Raw genomic sequence first — 26,309 nt, 5'->3', positions numbered from 1 at the left:
ACCTAGTCACAAAAATGGATGAATAATTTATTGAAAAACATAAAACAGAACACTATTAGAACATTAACTTCTTAACACAATTTCTGATTTGCAGTCTTCACTGGAAAAACTCACCCATAATCCCTTTCATTCTAAACTATTTTCTTACTGGTGAGTTGAATAATGAATGCATCACTTATGCCCTCCACTGCACCATCTGTAAGCTTTGTGCGAGGGCATAATTTTTAGATAAACATGTATGTACAAACATACAGAAAATGAAGAAAGCACGCCTGATCTGAGCTGCCTGGCACTCACCTGAGACGCTGCCTTCTCAAAGCCATCTGGGTTCAGGGAAGGCATGATGTGAATGCGGGTACTGTGGATCAGGTTGACAATTGTCTCGTTCCCCTTCTGGTATTCGTTGCATAGGTACTGGGCCAAGAAAATGAGCAGTTCTCGTCCAACAGCCTCATTCCCATGCATATTCCCAATGTATTTAAATTCAGGCTCACCTAAAAGATTAATAGATAGCATGGAGATGTTTTCTATGACATACAGAGCCAAATATATTGTATACCTACAAATGTATTATGAATATCTGATGGGTTTTTTCCTCCAGCAGCGATGCCTTAAAAAAAAATCTACCGTAGACATTAAAATACCCCTTCTATCCTTCTATTCCTCGCCTCCCAGCTACCCACCTGTTATGGACTGAACTGTATTCACCCAAAATTAGTATGTTGAAGGTCTAACATCCAATGTGACTGTATTAAGGAGGTAATTAGGGTTAAATTAAGTTATAAGTGTGGAGCTCTGATCCAATAGGACTGTCATCTTTATAAAAAGAGGAAGAGACACCAGAGCCCTCTTTCTCTCCTCTGCACAGAGGAAAGACCATGTGAGAGCACAGTGAGAAGGCGGCAGCCAGGAGGAGAGGCCTCACCAGAAACCACCCCTGCTGCCACCTTGATCTTGAACTTCTAGCCTCCAGGCCTGTGAGAAAATTAATTTCTGTTGTTTAAGCCAGCCAGTCTGTGGATATTTTGCTATGGCAGTCTGACAAGACTAATATACCATCTCACCCACAATAACTAATAATAATAACACACTACGTGCCTCCTATTAAACACTGTGCTTTGCATGTTTTCTTATTTAATCCTGACCAAACATCTAAAAATAAGTATTATTATCCAACTTCATTTTGCAGATAAACAAACTGAAATTCAGACTGCTTAAGAAGACTGTCTCCATAGTTACATGGCCTGGGAAGCCAGGATTCAAATGCTAGTCTTCTGGTTTACTTAAACGTCTATGTTTTTGTTTTTTTGTTTTTATTCCTAAATCATAGTGATTGAGAGGGGCCAGACTGCATGGATTCAAATCCTAGCACCAATTCTTACTGTCTAGGCTTGGGCAAGTTACTTCAGTTCTCTGTGGCTCTGTTTTTCCATCTAAAAATTAGAGATAACAATAGATTCTAGCCCATACGGAAGGTTATTATAAGAACTAAATAAAATAATGAATGTAAATGCTTAGAACAGTGCCTGACAAATAGCAAGTGCTATATGTTTCCTATAATTTTCTTTAATATTATTATTACATGACATTATCTTGTCATTGTGAAGTTCCTTGCCATACATAATCTAATTTTCTCTTCACAACAGCCCACTAAAATGTGTAAGGCATGTATTTTTATTATCCTTATGGTATAAATCAGCCCAAAGAGGATATACTTTGCTGAAGGGCTCAGAATACTAACAAAAGTCACTGTTGCCTGTTTGTGAGACTCTCCATTGCGTTTTAGGAGTAGTAATGAAATTGCAGAACGTAGCAGCAAAGTGATCTCAATTAATCCTGTTGTTCTGCTCGTTTCTGCTTCATCCATCCCACGGGCCCAATTTCTGCATTTACAAAATCACTAAGACTGCTGGTTCTTGGTATAAGAAAGCAAATTAGAATTATTTTTCTCCTGGAAATATGTTAACTAAGCATTCTTTGCATGAGATTCCTGAGTTTCTGAATTAAGTGACTATTCACCCCAGAAAACTATGACCTTGTGGTGACCTCTCAGCCTGAGCTTATGCTAATCTTAATCTAAGGATCAGGTGGGAGCAGGATCGGGGCTATTTATACCCCCCTCAGTTTTTACTTTGAGGGAGAGTCTCTAATAAAATTACCCCTAGGGACTTGCCCAGAAAGTAAGAGAAGAGATGAGGAGGTGTGAGAAGAGATGTTTTCTTGGCTTCTGATTTCAAAGGTAATAATAACCTTCTTCCTTTCTGTAAACTCATGCAGTTTATACCCTCATTTATGTGATGTATTCATTTGATTGAGGCACAGGAGAAACTGCTGCAGCCCATTAGAGAGAGAGAGCAAGTAGCCAGGGGAATATTAGAAGCTGGCTTCACAAGTTTTTTTGAAAAAGTTGCACTAAGAAGGCATTTTGGTCCTGCTCCCTTCCCCAAAACAACTTTGAAGCTTCATGTCACTCAATAAAGCTTGGCCCACAACCCCTAATTACACTGAAAATTTTTATAACTTCTCTGTGTTTAAATCTTTTTTTAATCAATTAAAGAAGAAACAACAAACCCATAGTCACTAAGCCACACTTGCCCCCAGATGTCTGGTTTAGCTAGCACAGTATATTTTGTGTTCGAATGTGAATGCTTTGGGATAGAGCATGCTCCCCCTAGTTCTGCCACAGGCTGCGCCATTCCCTACTGCTGCTTTACTCATTTATGTTTGCAACTCCTGATTTTCAGACTCAGAAAATGTATGACATGGTTTCTCTTCAAATCTGCAGATTTCTCTCAGGAAAAATCTCCCCCAATATATCTATGTATTTGTGAGGCGGTAGTAACACTAATGACAATAACAATGCTTTAGGTTGACATGAAGACAGGACAACAAAGGTCATTATATTGAAGATACTAATGTACGGAAATAAAATGCAAGGCACATATGATAGCAAAAGAAAAGGCAAGTGTATCTCTAACTCCTTCTGTCCTCAGGAATAACTTAGATCACTATATAATGTTATCACTAGAATACAGAAGAGCTATGCTCCTTTAAGCCAACTAACATGACTTGTGAGATGCGGAACAGCCACATTGTTTAAATACAGCATTTGTTGGACATACATGCAAATCCCAGGGTCAGACACTACATGGGATCCAAAAGCAAATATGTCAGCATTCCTAAACTGAAGGAATGTAGAGTCTGGAAGAAGACTCAGACATGCAATGGACAATGTTCAGGAGTGAGGCAACGGTGAAGGAATGTTGGATATGTAACTAAACTGCTTCAAGGTTCCAAACTGGGATATTCCTCCCACCCCTCTGGCCTCTCTCCAGCTCTTTTCCCTCCCAAGGCCAAAGCTTTCTTTTTAAAACGCAACCCTCCTCAGGTCACCTCCACCAAAGAACCCATCAGTAACTTCCCCTTTGCTTTCATGATAAAGACCAAAATTCTCTACGAGATCTTGAACCTCCATGTGGTTTGGCGTGGTGCCTCTCAAGGCACCAGCCTTTCCCTCCTGTGTTTCAGCCATCCTTCTTTCAGCCACGAGGCTCGTCCCTATAATGCTCTCTGCTTCACATATTCACATATTTTATCCGCACAGCCTTCTAAGTATGGCTAAATACAGCTTCCTTGGAGTAGCTTTAGTCTAAGTCCACAGTTCCTTTGTTATTTTTCTTTTCTTTTCTTTCTTTCTTTTTTTTTTTTTTTTTTTTTGAGGCAGAGGCTCACTCTGTCACCCAGGCTAGAGTGCAGTGGCACAATCATGGCTCACTGCAGCCTCGACCTCCCGGGCTCAGGTGATCCTCCCACATCAGCCTTCTGAGTAGCTAGGACTATGGGTGTGCACCACCATGCCCAACTAATTTTTTTGTAGAGATGAGGTTTTGTCATGTTGCCCAGGCTGGGTTTGTTATTTTTAACACCTCAGTTTGAAAATATACATTCATCAATGTAGTTATTTGATTAACTCCTCTGTCACCCAGACTGTAAGGTCTATTAGTCCTGGGATGGGATCTATTTTAGCTCACCAGTGTGTCACCTGTGCCCCCACATAGAGTCTGGAACATAGTAGGGATTTGCATTCTTGTAAGAATACGATAAGAATAAATTCTAAGCTTAAATATCAGTTCAATAAATTTGTGAATGAAAGAGTAAATGAATGGTCTTGCTTTTCAATCCCATCCTTGCAGCAGCGTGGCTGACAGTAGAGCTTGCCCTTGAGACAGAGGTGCAGCTGCAGATGCTTGAAAACCCTTCTGGAGCAGTGAAGGGAATAAAGGAGTAACTGAAGGGGGCTTGAGGCAGCTTCAAGGAGGCTGCACCCGGGTGGAATATCAGGAGGCCTCAATGGCTCATTGCTCTAGCCAACAGGCTCTAGCCATTCCAGGTAGGAATGGAAACTCTTCTTTGGGAATGAAGGCAGCAGTATGGTGAACAGCTGATTTCCCATCAAGAAGATTAATTTCCATAGTCACCACAAAACCTCTCCAGGCAAGCAGCTCCCCAAAGCTATTTTTGTTGTAAAGTCTAAACAACAGATTCTGAAGAAATTTTGCCTTCAGAATCCTTAATACAGAAATAGCAATAAAATTGAAGACTTTAGATTTTGAATGGCCCTCTCTGAGTCAATACGTTCTTTACCTTAGACTTTTTTAAGCAAAGCAGTGACAGTTTTTCATCATCAATTTTCTCTTCTGCGTAAATGGATGACGTTTGCCTTCCTGTTTATAGTGTTTACACAGAAGAAAAAAACACAGGTTTAACAGGTTGCAGCTGCCAGGTATGTGGATCCGGCTGGTATAATGTACACGTCCCTGTGTGTTAACTCATCTCTCTCCTAGCAACGGGGTGGGGGAGCGGGGAAAGCGGCTAGAAGCACTACCCTCAGGACACTGGGGATGGTTGTTTTTACATCATCTTACTTTCTTCACTAATTCATTTTCCTTTTTTTTTTTTTTTTTTTTTTGAGACAGAGTCTCACTCTGTTGCCCAGGCTGGAGTGCAGTGGCACAATCTCGGCTCACTGCAGTCCCGCCTCCTAGGTTCAAGCAATTCTTCTGCCTCAGCCTCCTGAGTAGCTGGGAGTACAGGCGCACGCCACCACACCCAGCTAATTTTTGTATTTTTAGTACAGACAGGGTTTCACCATATTGGCCAAGCTGGTCTCGAACTCCTCCTGACCTCATGATCTGCCCCGCCCCCCCCCACCCAGCCCTCCCAAAGTGCTGGGATTACAGACGTGAGCCACCACGCCCGGCCTTCATTTTCTTTTTTACACAGTAATCCTGAGTTCCTGATCTTGCAATTGAGGAATCATCATATTTGCACAGGTTGCACTTCATAGGCTCAGCAAGCATCTTTTCCCCATTGTGTCAATTTTCCCACAATTTCATGTAACCATCCAGCATTCCAGTTACTTCACATGGCACACAATCATCAATCAAGCCATTATTAAAAGACGATCTTCTCACAAACCAAATCCAGCCTGGCTGGGCCCAGTTTCTATCTTTTTCCATCCGTATCACAGAACATTTAATGTGCCTGGTTGGATTTGCATTCTCGTCAGAATAAGATAAGAATAAATTCTAAGCTTTAAAAATATCCACAGTTTTAATTAAGGCAGAAATAGCTGCATAAATTCCAAACCAGAGCAGGCAAATGATTTTAAGTCCAGACTTGTAACTCTTAATTTGCCCCAATTTGTATTAATATGATTTGAAATAACTAAATCAGTAAAAAAGCAGCTTTAAAGAAAGAAGTCTCTTGCCTCAAAAATAAAATGTTACTCTTTTACACCCCAGAAACTCACATCCATGTGGGTGAAATTTGAAGCTGGAGGCAAGTTAGCAATGTTCCCAAATGGTAAAAGGAATTTATGCCTTAAAGTGACCAGAGAGCCACTGAAACAGAAGTCCACATGTCAGTAGGGTGAGCATGACATAAATGATCAAATAAAAAGACAAAAGTAAAAAATAATATTGTCTTCCACTCCTATGAAAAGAAAATTTACTTTCACTCTGTTATTTGGCCCCATGATCAGTCTGTCTACCTATCTAATATTTTCTTCTCCTTTTGGAAATAAGAGACAGGCTGATCACTAGGCACAGTAATTGAACAGATAATCTGAAGACTCCTTTCAAATCTTAGAGCCAATTATTCAATGGCCTTTCTATAGGAAGAAAACAGCAGAGGGAAAATATCCAACAGGAAATGAAATAACAAATGTGAATGTGGGTTGTAAATTGTGAAATTCTATGTAAGAAGTGGAGCATTCATTATTTAGAGGGAAAAAAAGTAGGTTAAGGGTATTTTAAGAAAGAACTTGATTATAGTAACAGAATTCTCCCATCTTTTATCCTGAAAATAGACAAGAAACTTACTCTGGGATGAATCTATTCTTCCTCCAACAACAAATTTTTGCCAAAATATAGGTGCACTAATTCATTTGGAAGTTATATATTTAACTCACTGATTACATAATTCTTGGAGCTGGTGACAATTTCAAAACACGTGTTCCTGGTACATGTAATAAACTGAACATAATGCTGAAAAACAATAGTGTAATTTCCACAGGTAAAACCCCATTTTTCAAAGATATCATGATGAAATGTGCACAAAAGCAGTGATTTTTAAAAATTGACAAACAAGTGGCTATATAAGCCTCACAATCACCGCACTGATTTGATTTACAAACTGCTATACAAGCAAGTTGGAAACATCTTTGGAACAGATGGGCCTCTTCATCAATGATCCTCCCTCAGTGATAAACCTGGGGTTAAAACATTAGTGCTACTAATTGTTTCCCCTTGTTTGACATTCTAACCTATTATAGACTGTAAATCATTCTTGCAGAAACTGAACCCTACAAGTTTCCTAGACCTCGTCAATAAGAACATCATTAATTGGCTCATATTTTAGCAGCCTAAAAATGCTGGGCATATTCCTAAAGGAAATGCAAGTCACCAGGGGTCCAATAAACAACACGAGGGGGTAGGATGGTTACAAAAACAGATTACTCACTTACAGAAGAAATGAGGAAAAAGTAAAGAAAAAAGTGGAGAAAGGAAACCAAGAAAAGGCAAAGGAACAAAAAATGATTGCAAAAGAAATGACAGCATTATATTCTCTCTTCTTGCTTCTTCCTTCAGAGTGAAATTTAGAAAACAACCAAATCAACATGATATCTTAAAAGTGAAATCTCACTTCATCTGATTTTTAATGGGCAGTCAAGATGGAATATATTACAGAATTATTCTGCAGAGACATATTACAGAATCATTTTGTAATCTTAATTATGCATTTGCTTTTAATATAATTTCAAAGTTGTCTTACATATGACATCTAAAATATCTCTACTAAGATTCTAATTGAAGGAGAGGTGAGCAAAAGAACAGAAGGTATTTCCAGCTTCACAAGTTTATAAAATAATGTCAGAGTTCCAATATTAGCAGCAATGCCTTAACTTTCTGAAATGAAAGTATTTGATGCCTTCACAAAAGAAAGCTACAAACTTTTTACAAATACCCCATACACAGTGGTGTGCTGGTAAATGTTTCACACTCAGCTCTAATTTGTAGCATTGACTATTTCCATGGTGTAAATACTCCCACCCTGGCCAATTTGAAGCTACTAATGTGTGGTCACTTGGCTCACAAATTTCCTGAAAATGAAAATAGGCTCTCATATGCCAGTAAAAGCCTACTCCAACCCACCACTGCATGTGGAAAGCAATTATTTGGGATAGATGGCTTCTGGTTTCTCCAAAGATTCTCCAAAAGGGGAAACTGAGGTCTAAGAAATCTGCAGAATTTTGAAACACAATAAGACATATAATGAGGCTACAGCCTGGAACAGTGGCTCATACCTGTAATCCCAGCACTTTGGGAGGCAGTGGCGGGTGGATCACGAGGTCAGGAGTTCAAGAGCAGCCTGGTCAAGCTGGTGAAACTCCGTCTCTACTAAAAATACAAAGATTAGCCGGGCATGGTGGTGGGTGCCTGTAATCCCAGCTACTCAGGAGGCTGAGGCAGAGAACTGCTTAAACCTGGGAGGTGGAGGTTGCAGTGAGCCAAGATCGTGCCACTATACTCCAGCCTGGGCGACAGAGTGAGACTCCATCTCAAAAAAAAAAAAAAAAAAAATTAGCTGGGCATAGTGGTGCACGCCTGTAGTCCCAGCTACTCCTACTCGGGAGGCTGAGGCAGGAGAATCGCTTGAACCCAGGAGGCGGAGCTTGCAATGAGCCGAGATCGCGCCACTGCACTCCAGCCTGGGCGACAGAGCAAGACTCCGTCGAAACAAAGAAAGAGAGAGAGAGAGAGAGAAAGAGAGAGAGAAACAAAGAAAGAGAGAAACAAAGAGAAACAAAGAAAGAAAGATGAAATTAGCGTCTACCCTATTACTTTTCTTTTTGTTTCATTTCATGCTAGGATAATTAAAAGAAGCTTTTATTTTGTGGGGGCTTTTTTACCTTGTATTAATACAGAGCTGTTTTCCAAAGCACTGCATCATTATGAATTCAACTTAGGGGGAGTGGCGGTAAACGGGCCTAGGGAAAATTTTTTGACTGAATAAGTTATCCTAGCAGTTACTGACTCACGAGAGTATATCACCCTTTGCCCTAAATATTAGCCATAATAAATCAATGAAGAAAATTTACTTTAACCTATTATATAGTTTTTCTAAAATATTTGTCAGCAATAATATCAGATATTCAAAATTCCTTCTGCTCTCTCTATAGTCCTATCCTACAAGACGACCTTCACAATAAAAAGGCAATATAATTTCCATTCCCATTCATATAAATTCATCATTTAAAATTCACAGAAATCAATAATTTAAAATTAGTATCACAAAACACCTTATTATTACCATTCAAGAAGAAGCTACCTATGAAAGCCTTCAGATTCAGAAAAACCTTTGACTTGTGGCCAGGCATGGTGGCTCACGCCTGTAATCCCAGCACTTTGGGAGGCCAAAGCAGGCGGATTACCTGAGGTCAGGAGTTCCACACCAGCCTGGCCAACATGGTGAAACCCTGTCTCTACTAAAAATACAAAAATTAGCTAGATGTGGTGGCGGGCGCCTGTAATTCCAGCTACTCGAGAGGCTGAGGCAGGAGAATCACTTGAACCCAGGAGGCAGAGGTTGCAGTGAGCCGACATCATGCCACTGCACTCTATCCTGGGCAACAGTGCAAGACTCTGTCTCAAAAAAAAAAAAAAATACCTTTGACTTGTTTAAGAACATTGTTAAGTGAGCACAGAGAAGTTTTAATATACAAATCAGATAAGGCAGAGATTGTTTTAATGATTTAGTTTCATGATTTGAAATCTTTCTGTAGATATTAATCACCAAAAAGACCATAATTATTTTTTAAAGTGCTATAATAGTTATCGGCTACATCAAATGCTTATCAAAATGCCTTTGTGCATTTATTTACTGAAGAGGGTTTTTGGACCTTGAAGCATCTTTTAGAATTATTAGCTTCTAGTTATCTTAGATAACTCTCTTAGAAGATTCTGCTGTCTTTCACTAATATTCTTATCAAATAAGATAAATTGGAAAGATAAATTTGTCTAAGAAGTTAAGCACAAAACAGAGGTAAACGAAGTGACACTAGAGGTAATGGAAAGAAAATAGGAATGCACCTGACTTGTGGCAGCAACTATGATTCGAGTGAATCAATTTAGCTGATTCTCTCATTAACATATTTTATTGTGCTTTGTATATCTATTTTGGAAAATAATTTCCATGAGAAGCTCATTTCATAGGTTGAGAAGAAAAGTTTAGGAGGCAGCATCAAGTTTCCAAAGGTCGAAAGTTCTCCAGGTTTTCCAAGATAGTTATGTGGGGAAGGATTTGGTTTGTTCTGCAAAACTCCAGACAAATCTACAGTCAGTAGAAGTCATTAATTCCCACAGAAGCAGAAAGATATCTAAGAGACAAGCTGTGAGGCTGGACTAGATAACCTCTTAAACATCCCCTGATTCTAGAGAAGCAGGCGCTGTATCTTGCTTGACAAACTACTGGTATTCAAGTTTCTAAAACTGTCCTATACAAATCATGGTTGTAAATAAATGTCAGTGACAATTTTGATAGTTCTCTGGAACAAAGAGAAAACTGTACGTCATCATAGTGAACTAAGACATGATTATAAAAATTAATGGAAAAACACTAGTCCATTTCCTCAGTCATTGCTCTTTATGCCCATGAATGAACAGCTCATCCTTTCACAGGTAAATAGACAATGAGTAAAAGTAATGTCATCAGAACCTGTGTGGGTGGAGAATGTCAAACAGTTCTAGCAGACACAGATAAATGAAGGAGAAAAACGTCAATTTACTAACCCACAGATAAAGAGGTAGTAGCATTAACTACCTAAAACAAAATCAACAATATAAAACCTTATTTGAACAATCTCTTCCCAGGAGACCTTTGGAACATTTTATTCTCTCAAAAGGAAAATAATTCAAAAGTCAAATTAATTTGTCAAAACATCTTCAGGATGTTATTTTTTTTCAACATCATCATGAAAGACTTGCGGTGTCGAACATGCACTGGTTTCGGAAGGAGTAGGCCACGCAGTAGAATCTTCTGAAGGAGAATAAAGAAGCAAATGGAGCTCTCTGAATCATTCTGCATGCCTGAGCCTATGGAGAAATCCAGAAGCCATCTCTCCCAGATAATCACTCTCCATATGCAGTGGTGGGATGGAGTAGGCTTGTACTGGCATATGAGAGGCTTTTTTAATTTTCAGGAAATTTGTGAGCCAAGTTGGTAGCTTCAAATTGGCCAGGATGGGAGTATTTACACCATGGAAATAGGCAATGCTACAAATCAGAGCTGATTGTAAAACATTTACCAGCACACCACTGTGTATGGGGTATTTGTAAAAAAAAAAATTCTAGCTTTTGTGAAGGCATCAAATGCTTGCATTTCAAAAAGTGAGGGCATTTCTGTAAATATTGAAACTCTGACATTATTTTTTATAAACTAGTGAAGGTGGAAATACCTTCTTTTCCTTTGCTCACCTCTCTTTCTTTAGTTAGGATCTTACCAGGAAAGCCAGATCTAGATGATGATGAGTCTCTTGTGGGAGGACTGGGCTGCTTTGGGTCTCCCTCCAGGAGATCATTCCACAAGAGGACGTTCATGAAGTATCTCCTTTTGTTCAAAGTTTGTAAAGAAAATTGAAGCTGGGTGTGGTGGCTCATGCCTGTAATCTCAGCACTTTGGGAAACCAAGGCGGGAGGATCACTTGAGCCTAGGAGTTTGAGACCAACCTGGGCAACATGGCAAAACCCTGTCTCTACAAAAAATTTAAAAATTAGCTGGGCATGGTGGTGCAAGCCTGTGGTTCCAGCTACTCAGGAGCCTGAGGTGGGAGGATCACCTGAGCCTGGGAGGTTGAGACTGCAGTGAGCCATGATCATGCTACTGCACTCAGCCTGGGTGACAGAGTGAGACCCTGAAAAAGAAAGAAAGAAAGAGAGAGAGAAAGAAAGAAAGAGAGAGAGAGAGAGAAAGGAAGGAAGGAAGGAAGGAAAGAAGGAAGGAAGGAAGGAAGGAAAAAGAAAGAAAAAGAAGGAAAGAAAATGAGAAAGAAAGAAAATAAGAAAATTGGCCAGGCATGGTGGCTCATGCCTTCATCCTAGCACTTTGGGAGGCCGAGGTGGGCGGATCACGAGGTCAGGAGTTCGAGACCAGCCTGACCAACATGGTAAAACCCCGTCTCTACTAAAATACAAAAAATTAGCCAGGTGTGGTGGCACATGCCTATAGTCCCAGCTACTCAGGAGGCTGAGGCGGGAGAATCACTTGAACCTGTGAGCTGAGATTGCGCCACTGCACTCCAGCCTGGGCGACAGAGTGAGACTCCATCTCAAAAAAAAAAGAAAGAAAGAAAATTGTGCTGACTTATAGCGCTCTGGGTCAGAATCATTTGTGGAGCTTCTTAAACATACAGGTTTCTGAGCCCCATTCCCAAGGTCATCCTTCAGAAGGTTTGAGAAGGGGCCTGAGCAGCTGTATTCTGTACAGGGTCTAGAGGTGATTCTGATGCCAGGGCAGGATTGAGAAGGAATGATCTGGGAAGAAGGCACTGGGAAAATCTAGTAATTGGGAGGGATGCAATGATGCCAGCAGACTGGTGGGAATTTCAACAGCTGAGGGCCATGAAGGTACAGGCTGAGTTAGGGGATGGCTCTTAACAATTTGTGGGTTATGGCCTTTTTTGAAAATTCAATTTAAACAAAACTATGAATGATCTTCCCCCACATTTGCAAAAAAAACCCAAAAAACAAATCACAAAAATGTACAAAGATTTTACAAATTTAAAGAACCTTATTCTAGACATTTATAAGTCAGAATCAGAAAACAGAAATAAGAGTCACAATAAATATCAGCATATGCCTATACACAGGTTTATTTTCTTTTTTTAATGGTATATCATAGTTGTACATAAATATATAATTATACATACATGTGATATTTTGATACATGTATACAATATGCAATGATCGAATTTGGGTAACTAGGATATCCATCACCTCAAACATTTATCTTTTCTTTGTGCTGGAAACATTGCAATTCTTCTCTTCTAGCTATTTTGAAATGCACAATAAATTATTACATATAATTTACCGACGGTAGTGTTGAATATTAGAACTTATTTCTTCTAGCTAACTGTGTCCATTAACTAACTTCTCCTCATTCTCACCTTCCCTTCCCAACCTCTAGTATCTATCATTCTGCCCTCTCCTTCTGTGAGATCCACTTTAGCTCTTGCACACATGTGACAACAAGCCATATTTGTCTCTCTGGGCCTACACAGGCTTGTTTTCTGATCCCAGACAAACAGGGCACTTTTATATGCCCTTCCTTACTGCAAGAGGACCAAAGTGGCATGTAGCAATATAGTATTGTTTAAAAAAAACGAAAAAAAAAACGGGGGTTGGGGGGGCGGTACGTGGCTTAGGGGAGACAAACTTGGGTTTGATTTCAGAACTAACATTGTATATTTAACCTTGAACAATAACCCCTAGCCTCGGTTTTCTTTTCTGTAAATTGTCTTCTTAAAACCTCTTCTGGGCCGAGCACAGTGGCTCACGACTGTAATCCCAGCACTTTGGGAGGCCGAGGCGGGTGGATCACAAGGTCAGGAGTTTGAGACCAGCCTGACCAACATGGTGAAACCCCGTCTGTACTAAAAATTCAAAAATTAGCCAGCCGTGGTGGCATGTGCCTGTAATCCCAGCTACTCAGGAGGCTGAGGCAGGAGAATCACTTGAACCTGGGAGGTGGAGGTTGCAGTGAACAGAGATCGCACCACTGCACTCCAGCCTGGGCAACGGAGCGAGACTCTGTCTCAAGTAAATAAATAAATAAATAAATAAATAATAATAAAACCTCTTCTGCTGAGTTGTTGAGAGGATTACAGGTGAAATACACAGATGAGACATTTTGCATCATGCTCCACTAGTGGGTAGCTAATAAATGGAAATCATATCACCCATTGTTGTTACTCATACTGGTAATAATAATATAGATGATCTTCCCTGTTGGAGACTTAGAAACTTCCAACAGGAATATCAGGCGTCCCTGGGATCATTCAAAAAGCTACAGAACCCAAACAAGTTTGGAAAATTAAGCAATCCTTCCAGGAATATAGACAATAACATCGGCCTGATTCAGACCTATCCCATATGGCAGGGCTCCTCAAATTTGGATGTCACGTGAAGCAACGGAAGATCCTATTAAAATGCAGATTCCAATTCGGCAGATCTGGAGTGGGGCCTGAGAGCCTGTAGCTCTAATAAGCTCCCCTGGGATGCCATGCGGCTTGTCAGTGGACCATGCTATCCTGCAGGCCTAAGAACCACTCTTTGAGTGGAGAAAGGCCATTTGGAACCTCCAAAATCAAGAGTGGGGGAAAGAAAGAGAGATCAAATGAGACTGACTTTTAAAATAATTAAAGACAACAACAACAACAAAAACTTGAGTGCTTTTTCTTACTCCAACCTACTTGAGTGCCCACGCATTCAAAGGCATACAGCATAATTTTCAAGGCTGCTATATGGCTTCAGCTCCAAGATTCATTATAAATGCTAAACTGTATGATCAAAAAGTACCTGCTGTGTGTATTAAATCTGATGTTAGATACAGGAAGATGATGGAATATTATCAGACATGAAATAATCCTATGATACTCCAGAACTGTTCAGATGACAGGAAAGCGTATTGCTTGTCCCAGTTTCAAATTCAATATTTAAATTTTAATTATACATTAAATAATTATGCATGGTTTTACATTTTTAATGTACTTGTGAATAAATTATGAGTAATCATGGATCTTATAGGATATGCACTATCATATTTTGTTTATGGTTCTCTCACTAAAGTACTTTCAAGATTTTTACTGATTGCAACCATTCTAATTTTACCTCCCACTCAATCTCATCCATCTTCTGCTACTCTTTTTTATTTATTTCTTCAGGGACTGAGATAGGACCTTGAGAGGATTTTTTCTTCCCAATGAAGAAGAGTAATGAAATGAAAGACAAAATCGCATATAAGATCAAGTAGATAAACAGATACACAGTAGCCCCCCAAAATCTTGACATTTCTGATTTTGTAACAGTTTTTGTTTGTATTAGTATTTCACCTGTCCCTTCCCTTAGGAATTTTTTAATGTTTATTTAAATATTCTACAAACACTCCAAACTAAAAATAATATTAAGATGTTTTGCTAAATAAAATATAAAACAAAAAAATGAAGAAATAAAGACAGTTACTAAACACTAACGAATCACCTTTAATTTCATGTGTGTCCCAAGTAAACTTTATCTACTATCTCAAAATGTCAACTTAAATGTTATACTGAACTTCATTATTTTTGCTAATAAGTTCATGATTCTTTTAAAGCTATTTAAGATTCTCTATTCAGATGGTTTGAGATATCTTGTCAAAAGCATTATTAAAATATTTCTTTGTGACCAAAATAAACAGCCGTTTTCAAGTTTACTGATAAAAATCATCAAGTGTATCAAAAAAAATCTATTTAAAATAATTTTCTAACTGCTTAACAACTCAGAAAAAGATAAAGCAATGTGCCCCAAACCCAGAAAAAAAAAAGAATTTCTCTTCTGGGAAGATAATTAAATAACAAAAAATTACCAGAAAAATTTTACATGAAATTGCACGAAACCCAAACAAATAAACAAAAACCTAAACAGCTCTATCAACAGATAGATATATTCATCGCATATCTCAGCATCAAGGGTAGGAAATACTGTGGTTTTCTTTACGGGTCTGTTACTCTCTCTTCAACACTCAACCAACCACACTTCTGCCCTCACACTCACCTCTCCTATCTACATATCGCTCATCTCCCCAACATCCAAGACAGGAAAAGACACAGACAACAGAGCAACAAGGACAGTCATGAAAATTAACAGGAGTCACACAAAAAATTAGGCCCCTCCTAAAATAAACCGGGATTCAAGAAAGCAAATTATAATTCAACATTTTTGGTGTCACCCGTGAACATTATTGTGTCACAAACATGTCAGAATTCAAATGGTTATTAACCTCGACCTGATCTTATCCTTCTTTAAACTCATGGTATAAATGCAGGCATTAGCATTATGACATTGGTAATCATAGGCTAATCATGCCAAAAGTAAACTATCTTATTAGACCTAGAATCTGAGGATTGGTCTTGATAATCATAATAATGGCCTTCATGTACTTTTGGGCTTACCCTGTGGTGGGGACTTTTCCAAGGGCTGTGTATTAATTCATTTAATATACACTCAAATACACACAGGTGCATGTGCCTGTGTGCACACAAACACACGCTAAGAAGTAGGAACTCTTTTCATCTGCGTTTTACAGATGAGAAAACCTAGGGCATCAGGAGTTTAAATATCTTCCCCTATACCACAGAGCTTATTCACAGCAGTACTGGAACTCAGCAACCCACGATGTAGCACCACAACCAAAGAACATCACTACCCTCTGACTCTGTCTCCATAATCAAGTTTCAGGTGTTTACCTCTTCCATGCTGGCCTTCCCTGACTGTCCACATTCTAGCTTATGAATATGCAATAATTCACTGGATAGTGGACTGACGATCAAAAATGACACAGTAAGGCAGCCCATTGCTATGGGTGTGGTAGAGTGGAGTGGTCAGTTAGGACTGGTGACAATGCTCGCAATGATAAAAGAAGGGTTTTTTTTTTGCTTTATTCTTTATTAGTTCTCCCCAGGACCAAAACCAGCAGTGGTTGTACATGTTAGGGACCTCCTTCTTATGGCTCCCATGCCCAGAGAGAAGTGGGGCATTTCCTGCTCCCCGTTAGGGCCCACACAGAAGATGATGCAGCCATGGTAGGAACCAGAAGAAAGAGCAAAGACTTTCTCAGCAGATGGGCTAGGGGCTGAATCCTGGCTCCACCACTTGACTGCCAATCTGAGCCTCAGTTCCCCATAGGTAACTGAAGACATTGTTCTTGCATGTTCTTGTGAGAATTATAAATGATATATTTAAATTCCCGCTACACTTGGTCCATCGTAACGGTCAATAAGTGGTAACCATTATTATAATTAATATGAAAAGTAATGCATTCTCCTGTGACAAACAAAATTATCTGAAGTTTTATTTTTGAAAAGTTCATAATCTCCTTTCCTCTCTCTACCCCTCTATAGGTCAACACACTTAGATCTTATTCTTTATAATAGTGGGTAACAATTCCTTTTATAAATACACAATAATTTTTACCTCTCTCCTATTGATGAACCTTCTGAAAAGGCAATAAACATCCTTGTGGATATGTACATATGTATATATACATGCATATATTTAGTAAAATCAATGTACAGTCATAGGCCATATAATGACATTCTAGTCAATGATTAACCCCACATATGACTGCAATCCCATAAGATTATAATGGATCTGAAGATTTCCCATTGCCTAGGGCCTATGTTTTGATGTTCCTGACCCTGTGTAGGCCTAGGTTAATCTGTGTGTTTGTGTCCTTGTTTTTTTAAAAAAAGAATTTAAAAAGTAGAAAAATACAAAAATTTTTAAAATACAAAAAGGCTTATAGAATAGGATATAAGAGAAAGAAAAGATTTTTGTACAGCTATAGAATGCTTCTGTGTTTTAAGCTGTGTGATTACAAAAGAGTCAAAAAATTTTAAATTTATAATGTAAAAAAAGTTACTGTAAGCTAAGGTTAATTTGTTACTGAAAAAATAAAGATATTTCTTTTCTTTTCTTTTCTTTTCTTTTTTTTTTTTTAAAGACAGAGTCTCCCTCTGTCGCCCAGGCTGGAGTGCAGTGGCGTGATCTCAGCTCACCTCAACCTCTGCCTCCTGGATTCAAGTGATTCTCCTGCCTCAGCCTCCCAAGTAGCTGGGATTACAGGCATGCGCCACCACGCCTGGCTAATTTTTGTATTTTTAGTAGAGACGGGGTTTCGCCATGTTGGCCAGGCTGGTCTTGAAATCCTGACCTCAGGTAATCTGCCCGCCTCGGTCTCCCAAAGTGCTGGGATTACAGGTGTGAGCCACCACTCCTGGCCATAAAAATATTTCTTAATAAATTTTGTGTAACCAAAGTATCCAGTGTTAATAAGGTTTACAGTTTTAAATGGTCATGTCCTAGGCCGTCACATTCATTCAGCACTCACTAACTCACCCAGAGCAACTTTCAGTCCTACAGTCATGGTAAGTGCCCTATACAGGTGTACCATTTTTAATCTTTCATGCTGTATTTTTATTGTACCTTTTCTATATTTAGATATACAAATGCTTACCAATGTATGACAGTGTTCAGTACAGTAATATGCCAGACGGGTTTGTAGCCTAGGAGCAATAGGCTATACCACATAACCTACATGTGTAGTAGGCTCTACCATATAGTCTGATGTTCATTCAATGACAAAATCATCTAACAACTAATTTCTCAAAACATATCTCCATTGTTAAGTTTTGCATAATTTGTTTATCAATACATACTTGTGCTTTCATTTCAGTAGGTAAGATTTCTAACAGCAGTGTTGTTGATTTGAGGAGAATATGAATTTTATATTTCAATAGCTTTTCCCAAAACAATTGTAGCAATTCACACCCCCCTTCGTAATGTGTGAAAGGGTTTGTTTACTCATTCTAAGGCCAGCAATAAAAATTATTATTTTTTCCAAACTATTAGAAAATAACTCTAGGCCGGGCGCAGTGGCTCATGCCTGTAATCCCAGCACTTTGGGAGGCTGAGGCAGGTGGATCACTTGAGTTCAGGAGTCGTGATCACGCCACTGCACTCCAACCTGGGTGACAGAGCAAGACCCTGTCTCAAAACAAACAAAACAAAGCAAAACAAAAACTCTAATTTGTATTTCTTTTATTTAAAAAGTTAAACATTTTTCATACATTTATTGGCCATCTGCATTCCATCCAATGTATCTTGCCAAATCTTATGCTTTGCCTGTTGTTTCTATGTTTCTTAATGCTTTATTAAGTCTCATTGTATAAGTACATTACACTTTTGTTTATAATGCAGTATTGGAAATATTTTCTCAGTCTAAACTTGTATTTCTTACTTTATGTTGTGCATTTTTCAACACAGAAATTTATAATTTTGTTAGTGAAAACTATCCAACTCTTCTTAAATGGCTTATGGATTTTTCCTGTTTTTAAAGAAAAACTAAATATAATCAAAATTTTTCTTCTATTATTTTATATTCTGATTTTGACATTTCAGTATTTATTCCACCTCACATGTATATTTTATATATACATGGTGTGAATTTGTGGTTTCATTTTATCTTATTCTACCTAGAAGCCAATTACACCAACATCGTTTTCCCTCTGAATTTAAATTCTACCTTTATCATAAATTAGGTTTCCATCTATACTTTAATCTATTTCTGGACTTTATTCTATTATAATAGCTGCTTTTTTCCAGACTTCATATCAAGCTGTTTTGCTAAAAGAATCTTAGAACCATGTATTAATAGCCAGTAGGACTAGTGCTCCAATATAAGTCTCTTTTCTAACATATTTTCTGGAATTCTAAAACATTTATTATTTCAAATGAACCGAAAATAATATTTTTGCTTAAAAAAATAAAATTCTGGTTGGAATTTTATTAAGTCAAATATTAATTTTGGAAGAACTGTTATTTTCATGATTTTACATCTTCTTGTGAATTTAATTTGTATTTATTCAAGTCCTGTCAATAAGTACATCTTTCTTCATGTGGGAGTTGCACCTTTTTTGTTAAATCTATTCCTGGCTATACAATTGTGAAAAGAACATTTTTCTACTTCTGTATCTAACTTGTTATTGCCATTATTTTTAAAAGCTGTTAACTTTCTTTGTCATTTCTTTCATTTTTTCAAATTCAAAGAAAATACCAAAACCAGCCAAAAGAAGGTAGGAGTAGAAATTTTAAAAGCTAAAAGCGAAATTAGTATTTTAAAAAACAATTAAATATGCGGTATGAAGGATAAATAACACCAATAAAACAAAAAAATACCAATAAAGTAGAATAAATTCTGCTGTGCCTAAAAGAAAAAAAAAACAAAAAAAGGGAAAATAAATTTACATATTTTTAGAAGAAAGAGAATAGCTCACACATGTACACCCAGCACTTTGGGAGTTCGAGGCGGGCAGATCACATGAGGTCATGAGTTCGAGACCAGCCCAGCCAACAGGGCAAAACCTCGTGTCTATAAAAATACAAAAATTAGCCAAGTGTGGTGGTGCATGCCTGTAATCCTAGCTACCTGGGAGGCTGAGGCAGGAGAATGGCTTGAACCCAGGAGGCAGAGGTTGCAGTAAGCCAAGTTCGTGCCACTGCACTCCAGCTTAGGTGACAGAGCAAGACTCCATCTCAAAAAAAATTTAAAAAAATAAAATAAGAAGAAAGAGAATGGAATAATACATATGGAAGAAGTTAAAATAATTTTTATTCTTATTAGTATTACAAAACAAAGTAACTAGAGAGAAAGCTATCCGACTTGCAATGACTAGGGATCTGGCCCTTCAGTTGCTCCGGCCATCCTGTAATTCACACGGTTTGTGCAACTGAAGATTGCCACAGCCCAAGATGAATCTCTCTAACCACCACAAGTTTCACTCCCAGATAAAACTGGGGAAGACGCATTGAGGGCAGGGAGGAAGAATATGGCTGAGCTGGTAGGAACTTTGGAGACAGTGCAGTTGACAAGCATATGAAGAACGGCAGAAGCTGGGGCAGCAATAGCTGTACACAGTCTCCCCACCTGGGGAGGCAGATCACCTCCAATGCTGCAATGATCTACCTCTCATGGTGATATCTTTTTCTTTTCTTTTTTAATTTTTTTTTTTCAGTAGAGATGTGGTTTCATCATGTTGCCCAGGCTGGTCTCGAATGCCTGAGCTCAGGCAATTCGCCTGCCTTGGCCTCCCAAAGTGTTAGGATTACAGGCGTGAGCCACTGCGCCTGGTCAATGATATCTTTTTCTAATTAGTTTCAAACCCAAATGTGTTGCCAATTTAAGAAAATGCAGTACCCCTTCTAATGGTTAAAAATGCAAGCTTTGAAGTCAGACTGGTGAGATGTCTATCTGTGTTACATCATTTACCAGCTGTTAAACTTTGGGCAAGGTTACTCCATGCCTCAGTTTCCTCTACTATAATGTGGGACTAATAATAACACCGACTTTATAGGTGTTACGGGCTAAATCGTGCACCCTCAAAATTCATATGTTGACGCCTGGCTTGGTCCATTCAGGCTGTTACAACAAACACCATAAACTGCGTAACTGATAAATAAGAGAAATGAATTTCTCACAGTTCAGAATGCTAGGATGGCCAAGGTCAAGGCACTGGCAGAGCCGGCGTTTGCTAAAGGCCCCCTTTATGGTTCGTAGATGGTACCTTCTGGCTGTGTCCTCATGTGATGGAAAAGGCAACTCTCTGGGGTCTCATTGTAAGGGCACTAATCCCATTCATAAGGATTCAGCCATCATGTACAAATCACCTCCCAAAGGCCCTTCCCCTCATGCCATCACATTGGCAATTAGGTTTTCAACAAATTACTTTTGGGAGAACACAAACATTCAGACCATAGCAAAGCCTTATCCCCCAGTACCTCAGCATGTGACTGTATTTGAAGATAAGGCCTTTACATAGGCAGTTAAGTTAAAATGAGGCTATTGGGATGCACCTAATCCAACCTGACTGGTGTCCTTATAAGAAGAGAAAATTGGACACAGAAAGAGACACTAGTGATGCAGATACACAGAAAGGGCCATGTGAGGATACAGTGAGGAGGCGGCCATCTGCAAGCCAAGGAGAGAGGCCTCAGGAGAAAACAAACCTGCCTGCCTTTGATCTCAGACTTCCAGTCTCCAGAACTGTGAAAAAATAAATGTTTGTGGTTAAAGCTACCCAGTCTGTGGTATTTTGTTATGGTGGCCTTAGCAAAGCAATACAATAGAATCACTGGGAAGATGAAATAATCTATTAAAGGACCTTAGAATAGTGGCTGGCATTTAATAAATGCTCCACAGAATTAGCAATTTGATAGGATGTTGGAATAGGGAGATGAGAAGGAGAGGAGACAGAGAAGAAAGAGAAGAAAAAGGAGAAGCTACTCAGCAAATGCCATTTGCCCTATGCTGTGCTGTGGCTTCTACAAAGGAGAAATCTCCAATGGCTACTGCCTGCCCCTTCGCATGATTCCCAGGGAACCCTCAAAAATGATCCAAACCCCAAGAGATGCCCGTGTTTTTGTAGTTAGGCCCTTTTAATGGGTCCTTGCTGGGTTCCCTCAACTATTCATTACACAAGTGTTTATTGAAAGTCTACTATGTGCCAGACCCTGGGATTGCAGTGAAAAACAGGGTAAGCTTAGACCTTACTTTCATGAAATCTAAAGTCTCCTAGATCATGGGTTCTGAATTCTGGGACAGCTGCAGCACTGTAAATTTTCACTGTTCTTCCTCAAGGTAATATAGGGATTCTCATAGTGCTCTGACTTAATGGCACAGAATCAGAACTAGGAACGCATGAAAGGTTGGCTCAATTCCATTTTCACCAGAAAATAAAAGGATTGTTTTATATAAGGTCTGCCTGTTCCTACACCATTACTCTCCAGTAGAACTTTCTGCAGTGGTGGCAATTTTCTCTCTCTGTACTGTCCCGGGAAATAACATTTGAGCACTTGAAATGTGGCTAGTGCAACTGAGGAACTGGATTTTTATTTATTCTTAATTTTAATTAATTTAAATTTAAATAGCTATATGTGGGTAGCATATTGAACAGCACAGATCAACCTCTGATGTTTTGATGTTTATGGGGCCTTGTTATAATCTGGAAACTGAATTTAGCACTTTTGTATGAACTTCCTGTATGTTGAGTTTATTCCCATCTCAAGAAGATAAGTTTGAGGAATATCAGAAGGAAATATGGAAGTAGTACTGTGGATACACTAGCACGAGCTGCTGTATATTTTTGGTATAAAAACTCAATGTTTTGCTAGGCTGGGTACAGTGGTTCATGCCTGTAATCCCAACACTTTGAGAGGCTGAGGCAGGAGGATCACTTGAACCGAGGAGTTCAAGACTAGCCTGGGCAACATCGCAAGACTCTGTCTGTACAAAAGAATTACAAAATTAGCTGGGCATGGTAGCATCCACCTGTAGTCCCAGCTACTCAGGAGGCCAAGGTGGGAGGATTGCTTGAGCCCAGAAGTTCAAGGCTGCAGTCAGCCATGATCACACTCCTGCACTCCAGCCTGGGTGACAGAGCTAGACCCTGTCTCAAAAAAAAAAAAACAAAAAAAAAACAAAAAAAAAAAACAAACTCACCGTCTTGCTGTAGGAAGAAACTTTAACTGGAAAAATTTGAAAAGGTTTTGACAAACCCAAAAAGTTATTTAAATAGCAAGAATTTACAAAAAGAACGCTACCTTTCATACAAAATATGAATGCATTCCTACTTCCTCTACCAGCCAAAAAGATAATCAGTCATGATTAGAAGCATTTACCAAAGTCATTTTGACTATATCTGCATTCACAATCTAGAGTAGCAGCAATTGGGCTGGAGCAACAGTGGTCATTTTCATTTGGTCAAAATATGCATAAGTCCTCAACCATAATTCATGCCCTCTATCTTGCTTAGGATGAAAGTTGAACTCAACATTTTGACTCAACTCAGAGCCAAAGGAAAATTTCTTAAAGATCTGTAAAAAGAAAACCCAAATAGGACATAACAAATAATTAGGCGTAATTGGAACCAGGATCTCGTGGAAAATGCCCACCCTGAAAGTTATAATGACTGGTTCTAGAATGCTACTTGTAAAATAAGGTTAGCGAGTCTATGAAGCTGGCTTGAGAGAGCCCCCAAAACCCCAGTACCACAGTGGTCTGCTCCAGAGACAGGCCGTGATGGAAATTCAAATGATGGCTCCACTCTGTAGCAAATGGAGTCACTGGGACGTACTATGTCACAGGAAAGCCAAGGTCCACCAAGTGCTATTAATCTGGCCTGTTAAGGAGTTCAGGATCTATAGGAGCCACTTCCTCAAATTGCTTCATTCTCCAGATACTCTGGGTTTCTTTATGCTATTTGAGCCATTGAAAACACTTTCACTGTTCATCAGATTAACAATCAAATCAAGATTCTTGAGAGTGAACGGGGTCTCGACGATTAATTCTGCCAGGGAAACAGTCATAAATGGGGCCATCCTGAGCAAACCCAAACATGTGGTCACCCCCTGGGAATACTGCTGTAAAGGTCCAGGTGTGCAGTCAAGATCTAACTCAGCACCTGCACGTCTCCGACTTTGCCTCCCTTTGGATGTGCCTTTGTACTGATGCATTTGCCACCCAGTGACATCTGCATTTCCATTGATGCAATAGCGTTTTTATACTTTCATTATTGAGATTAGATTGTCAGAGCTGAATTTTTAAGATTCATACCACACCGGCATTTGCTAATGCTGCACATGAAAGAAGGAGCACACCAGCCTCTCTGGCAACCAACAAGTTCCAGGTCTCGGAGGCAGTTTTCAAGTGCTAATTAGTTAGTGTCTATCAAGGACTCAGAAGTCACTGAGGACAACCCCTCAAGGCAAATATTTCCAAATCGGTGACATAGGGGCAGAGGTGGTATTTTCTGACTCACTCCTTGGAATTCTCCCAGCAATGATGCTAATGTTTATATAGGGCTACAGGAACTCAGTTGGGAAGGTACGAGGAAAAAATCCCACAAAGTGGATAAGACTTAAAGTACCTAAATTATTATAGAAGTTTGCTCTTGTTTATTTCCATGGTGTGCATATGAATCATGAAATCAGTGGCATTTTTCCAAATCCTGCACACCAGACCACTGTTCCAGAAACCACAGCTTGTGTGTGTGGGGGGGGGTGGGGTTGTGAGAGCAGCAGCAGCAGCTAAGGGGATTCTGAAACTTATCTTTGATTAATTTCTCTGCAAATGAATACTTTGGTACACTTCCATATTGCCAACATCTATATTACAAGGGGCTCAGTTCAAACTGATCTAACTTCTAGATAAGTAAAGAGCCAAAGTTATTTTCTATAATAATGAAGATGAACTTTAAAACCACCATTCTTCCTGCCTCCCACTGATATATCCCTGGCAGAAGAACATTAGGAGTTTTTCTGGTTAAAGCCTTCACAGCAGGAGCGGCATGTTGGGAACCTAGAAAGGATACACAGAGAGTAAAAACAGAAAAACACACACACATGCACAATGTTTATAGTAGGAAAAACTGAAGAAGGCAAGAAAGGCTGATATGGATATCTAATGCAAAGCTATGTAACAATATAATTGCACTATGCAAATGATGATCTTTGAGCTAAGGTATTAAAAGCTAAACAAAAAATTATAGAAAACAGAGAAATAAACTTCATAAACAAGGGAATTGCATTTTGTTCATTTAATGGGCTCACGAGCTGATCTGGGGAGTGCTTTAGCCCTCTCATCATGCTATCGGTTCCTTGATTGCCTCAACATGATTTTATCCAGAATGTTGACATTTGCTCTATTTGTTGTAAACTGCTCCCCTCTTCCAATCAGTCTGCTGCCCCTATCTTTTATATATAGAAATGTCTAGCAGCAACCGTAAATATATATTTTCTCATTAGTATCAATATAATTCTTTGATTAGAAGTCTCTCTGGATTTTTTGTAAGAGGAAGAAATGTAACATGAACCTCCTGTCACACTGAGAACTGAGATATAAGTTTGAAAGTAAAGTAAATCTTCAAAGTGACATGAGTCACATTAAAAAAAAAAAAGCTTCAGCCGACTTCTGCCACAACACATTGTTCCTTTTATGTGGAGAAATTGGCAATAGAGAACACAGATGGCTCTTCCATGAATAATTTATTTCTAACAATTTAACTAGGAAATGAATTTCTGTTGACTTATAAATCAGAATGACCAACAATAAAGACACAGTCTACTCTCCTTTCACAGTTAATTCTATTCCCCCTCCCCACCATCTTCTTCTACCTTATCCATTTCTCTTTCACGTGATCTTTTTGCTGCCTTACTAAAATTTTAAAGTTGGCTCAACCCAAGGCCACCTTTTGGGAATTATTAGACAACTGCTTTTTACGTTGTTATTCTTGTTTTGCTATTGTTCTTGTTAACATTGGTTTGGTTGGTTGGTTGGTCGGTTTTTCAAACATGATGCTAGATTATTTATCCAAAAGCATCTTCAATGAACAAGGCAAATGAAGTGTTTCTCATTATTCCCTTTTTTCTAAGTCAGAATTATAAGAGACAGAATCTCTGAAGGTTTAAGCTTCTTCCTGACTGAAAATCAGACACCTTTGGAAACACTTACTCTTTTAAAACACCAGGACAGATATGAAGCTTTGCACCAAATCTGCATTTCTACTGGCCTGCCCAATATTAAAGGGGCCAGCCTTAGAACTAGAGGTGAACTATGCATCTCTACCTCTGATTTTTGCCATCCGTGCACATCCTTTGCGCAAGCACTCTTGAAACTCTACTACAAACTCTACAGTCCATGAGTGCCAAGAAATCCAAAATCAGTCCATATAAAGTATTGCCCCAGTCAAAGAAGCTGGCATTAGCCTTTACAATCCTTACTACCCACTAGCCTGGAAGTCACGATGAACTCTTCCACTGCATTAGATCTGTTTCATCTTTTTAAAACCATGTTAATTTTAGTGACTTTGTAACACTCATCGTGTTTGAAATGACCCATTCAAATTATCCATTTGTCTTTCCCACTAAACTGTAGGACCCAGG

The 26,309-nt window shown here is 38.9% G+C and overlaps 1 protein-coding gene across 1 annotated transcript in view; it reads right to left on the bottom strand.

Moving 5' to 3' along the window:
- Positions 1-26,309, bottom strand: part of CPE (carboxypeptidase E) — a 119,540-nt gene that overhangs the window by 33,664 nt on the left and 59,567 nt on the right. The window contains exon 2 of the mRNA NM_001873.4: positions 298-494. Within this exon, the coding sequence (NP_001864.1) occupies positions 298-494 (197 nt within the window). The remainder of the gene's footprint in view (positions 1-297; positions 495-26,309) is intronic.

This window comes from Homo sapiens, chromosome 4 (genome assembly GCF_000001405.40).
Source record: "Homo sapiens chromosome 4, GRCh38.p14 Primary Assembly".
In the NCBI taxonomy this organism is placed as follows: Eukaryota; Metazoa; Chordata; class Mammalia; order Primates; family Hominidae; genus Homo; species Homo sapiens.
Note: the sequence above shows the minus strand (reverse complement) of the source record. Positions and strands in the feature narration are given on the sequence as shown.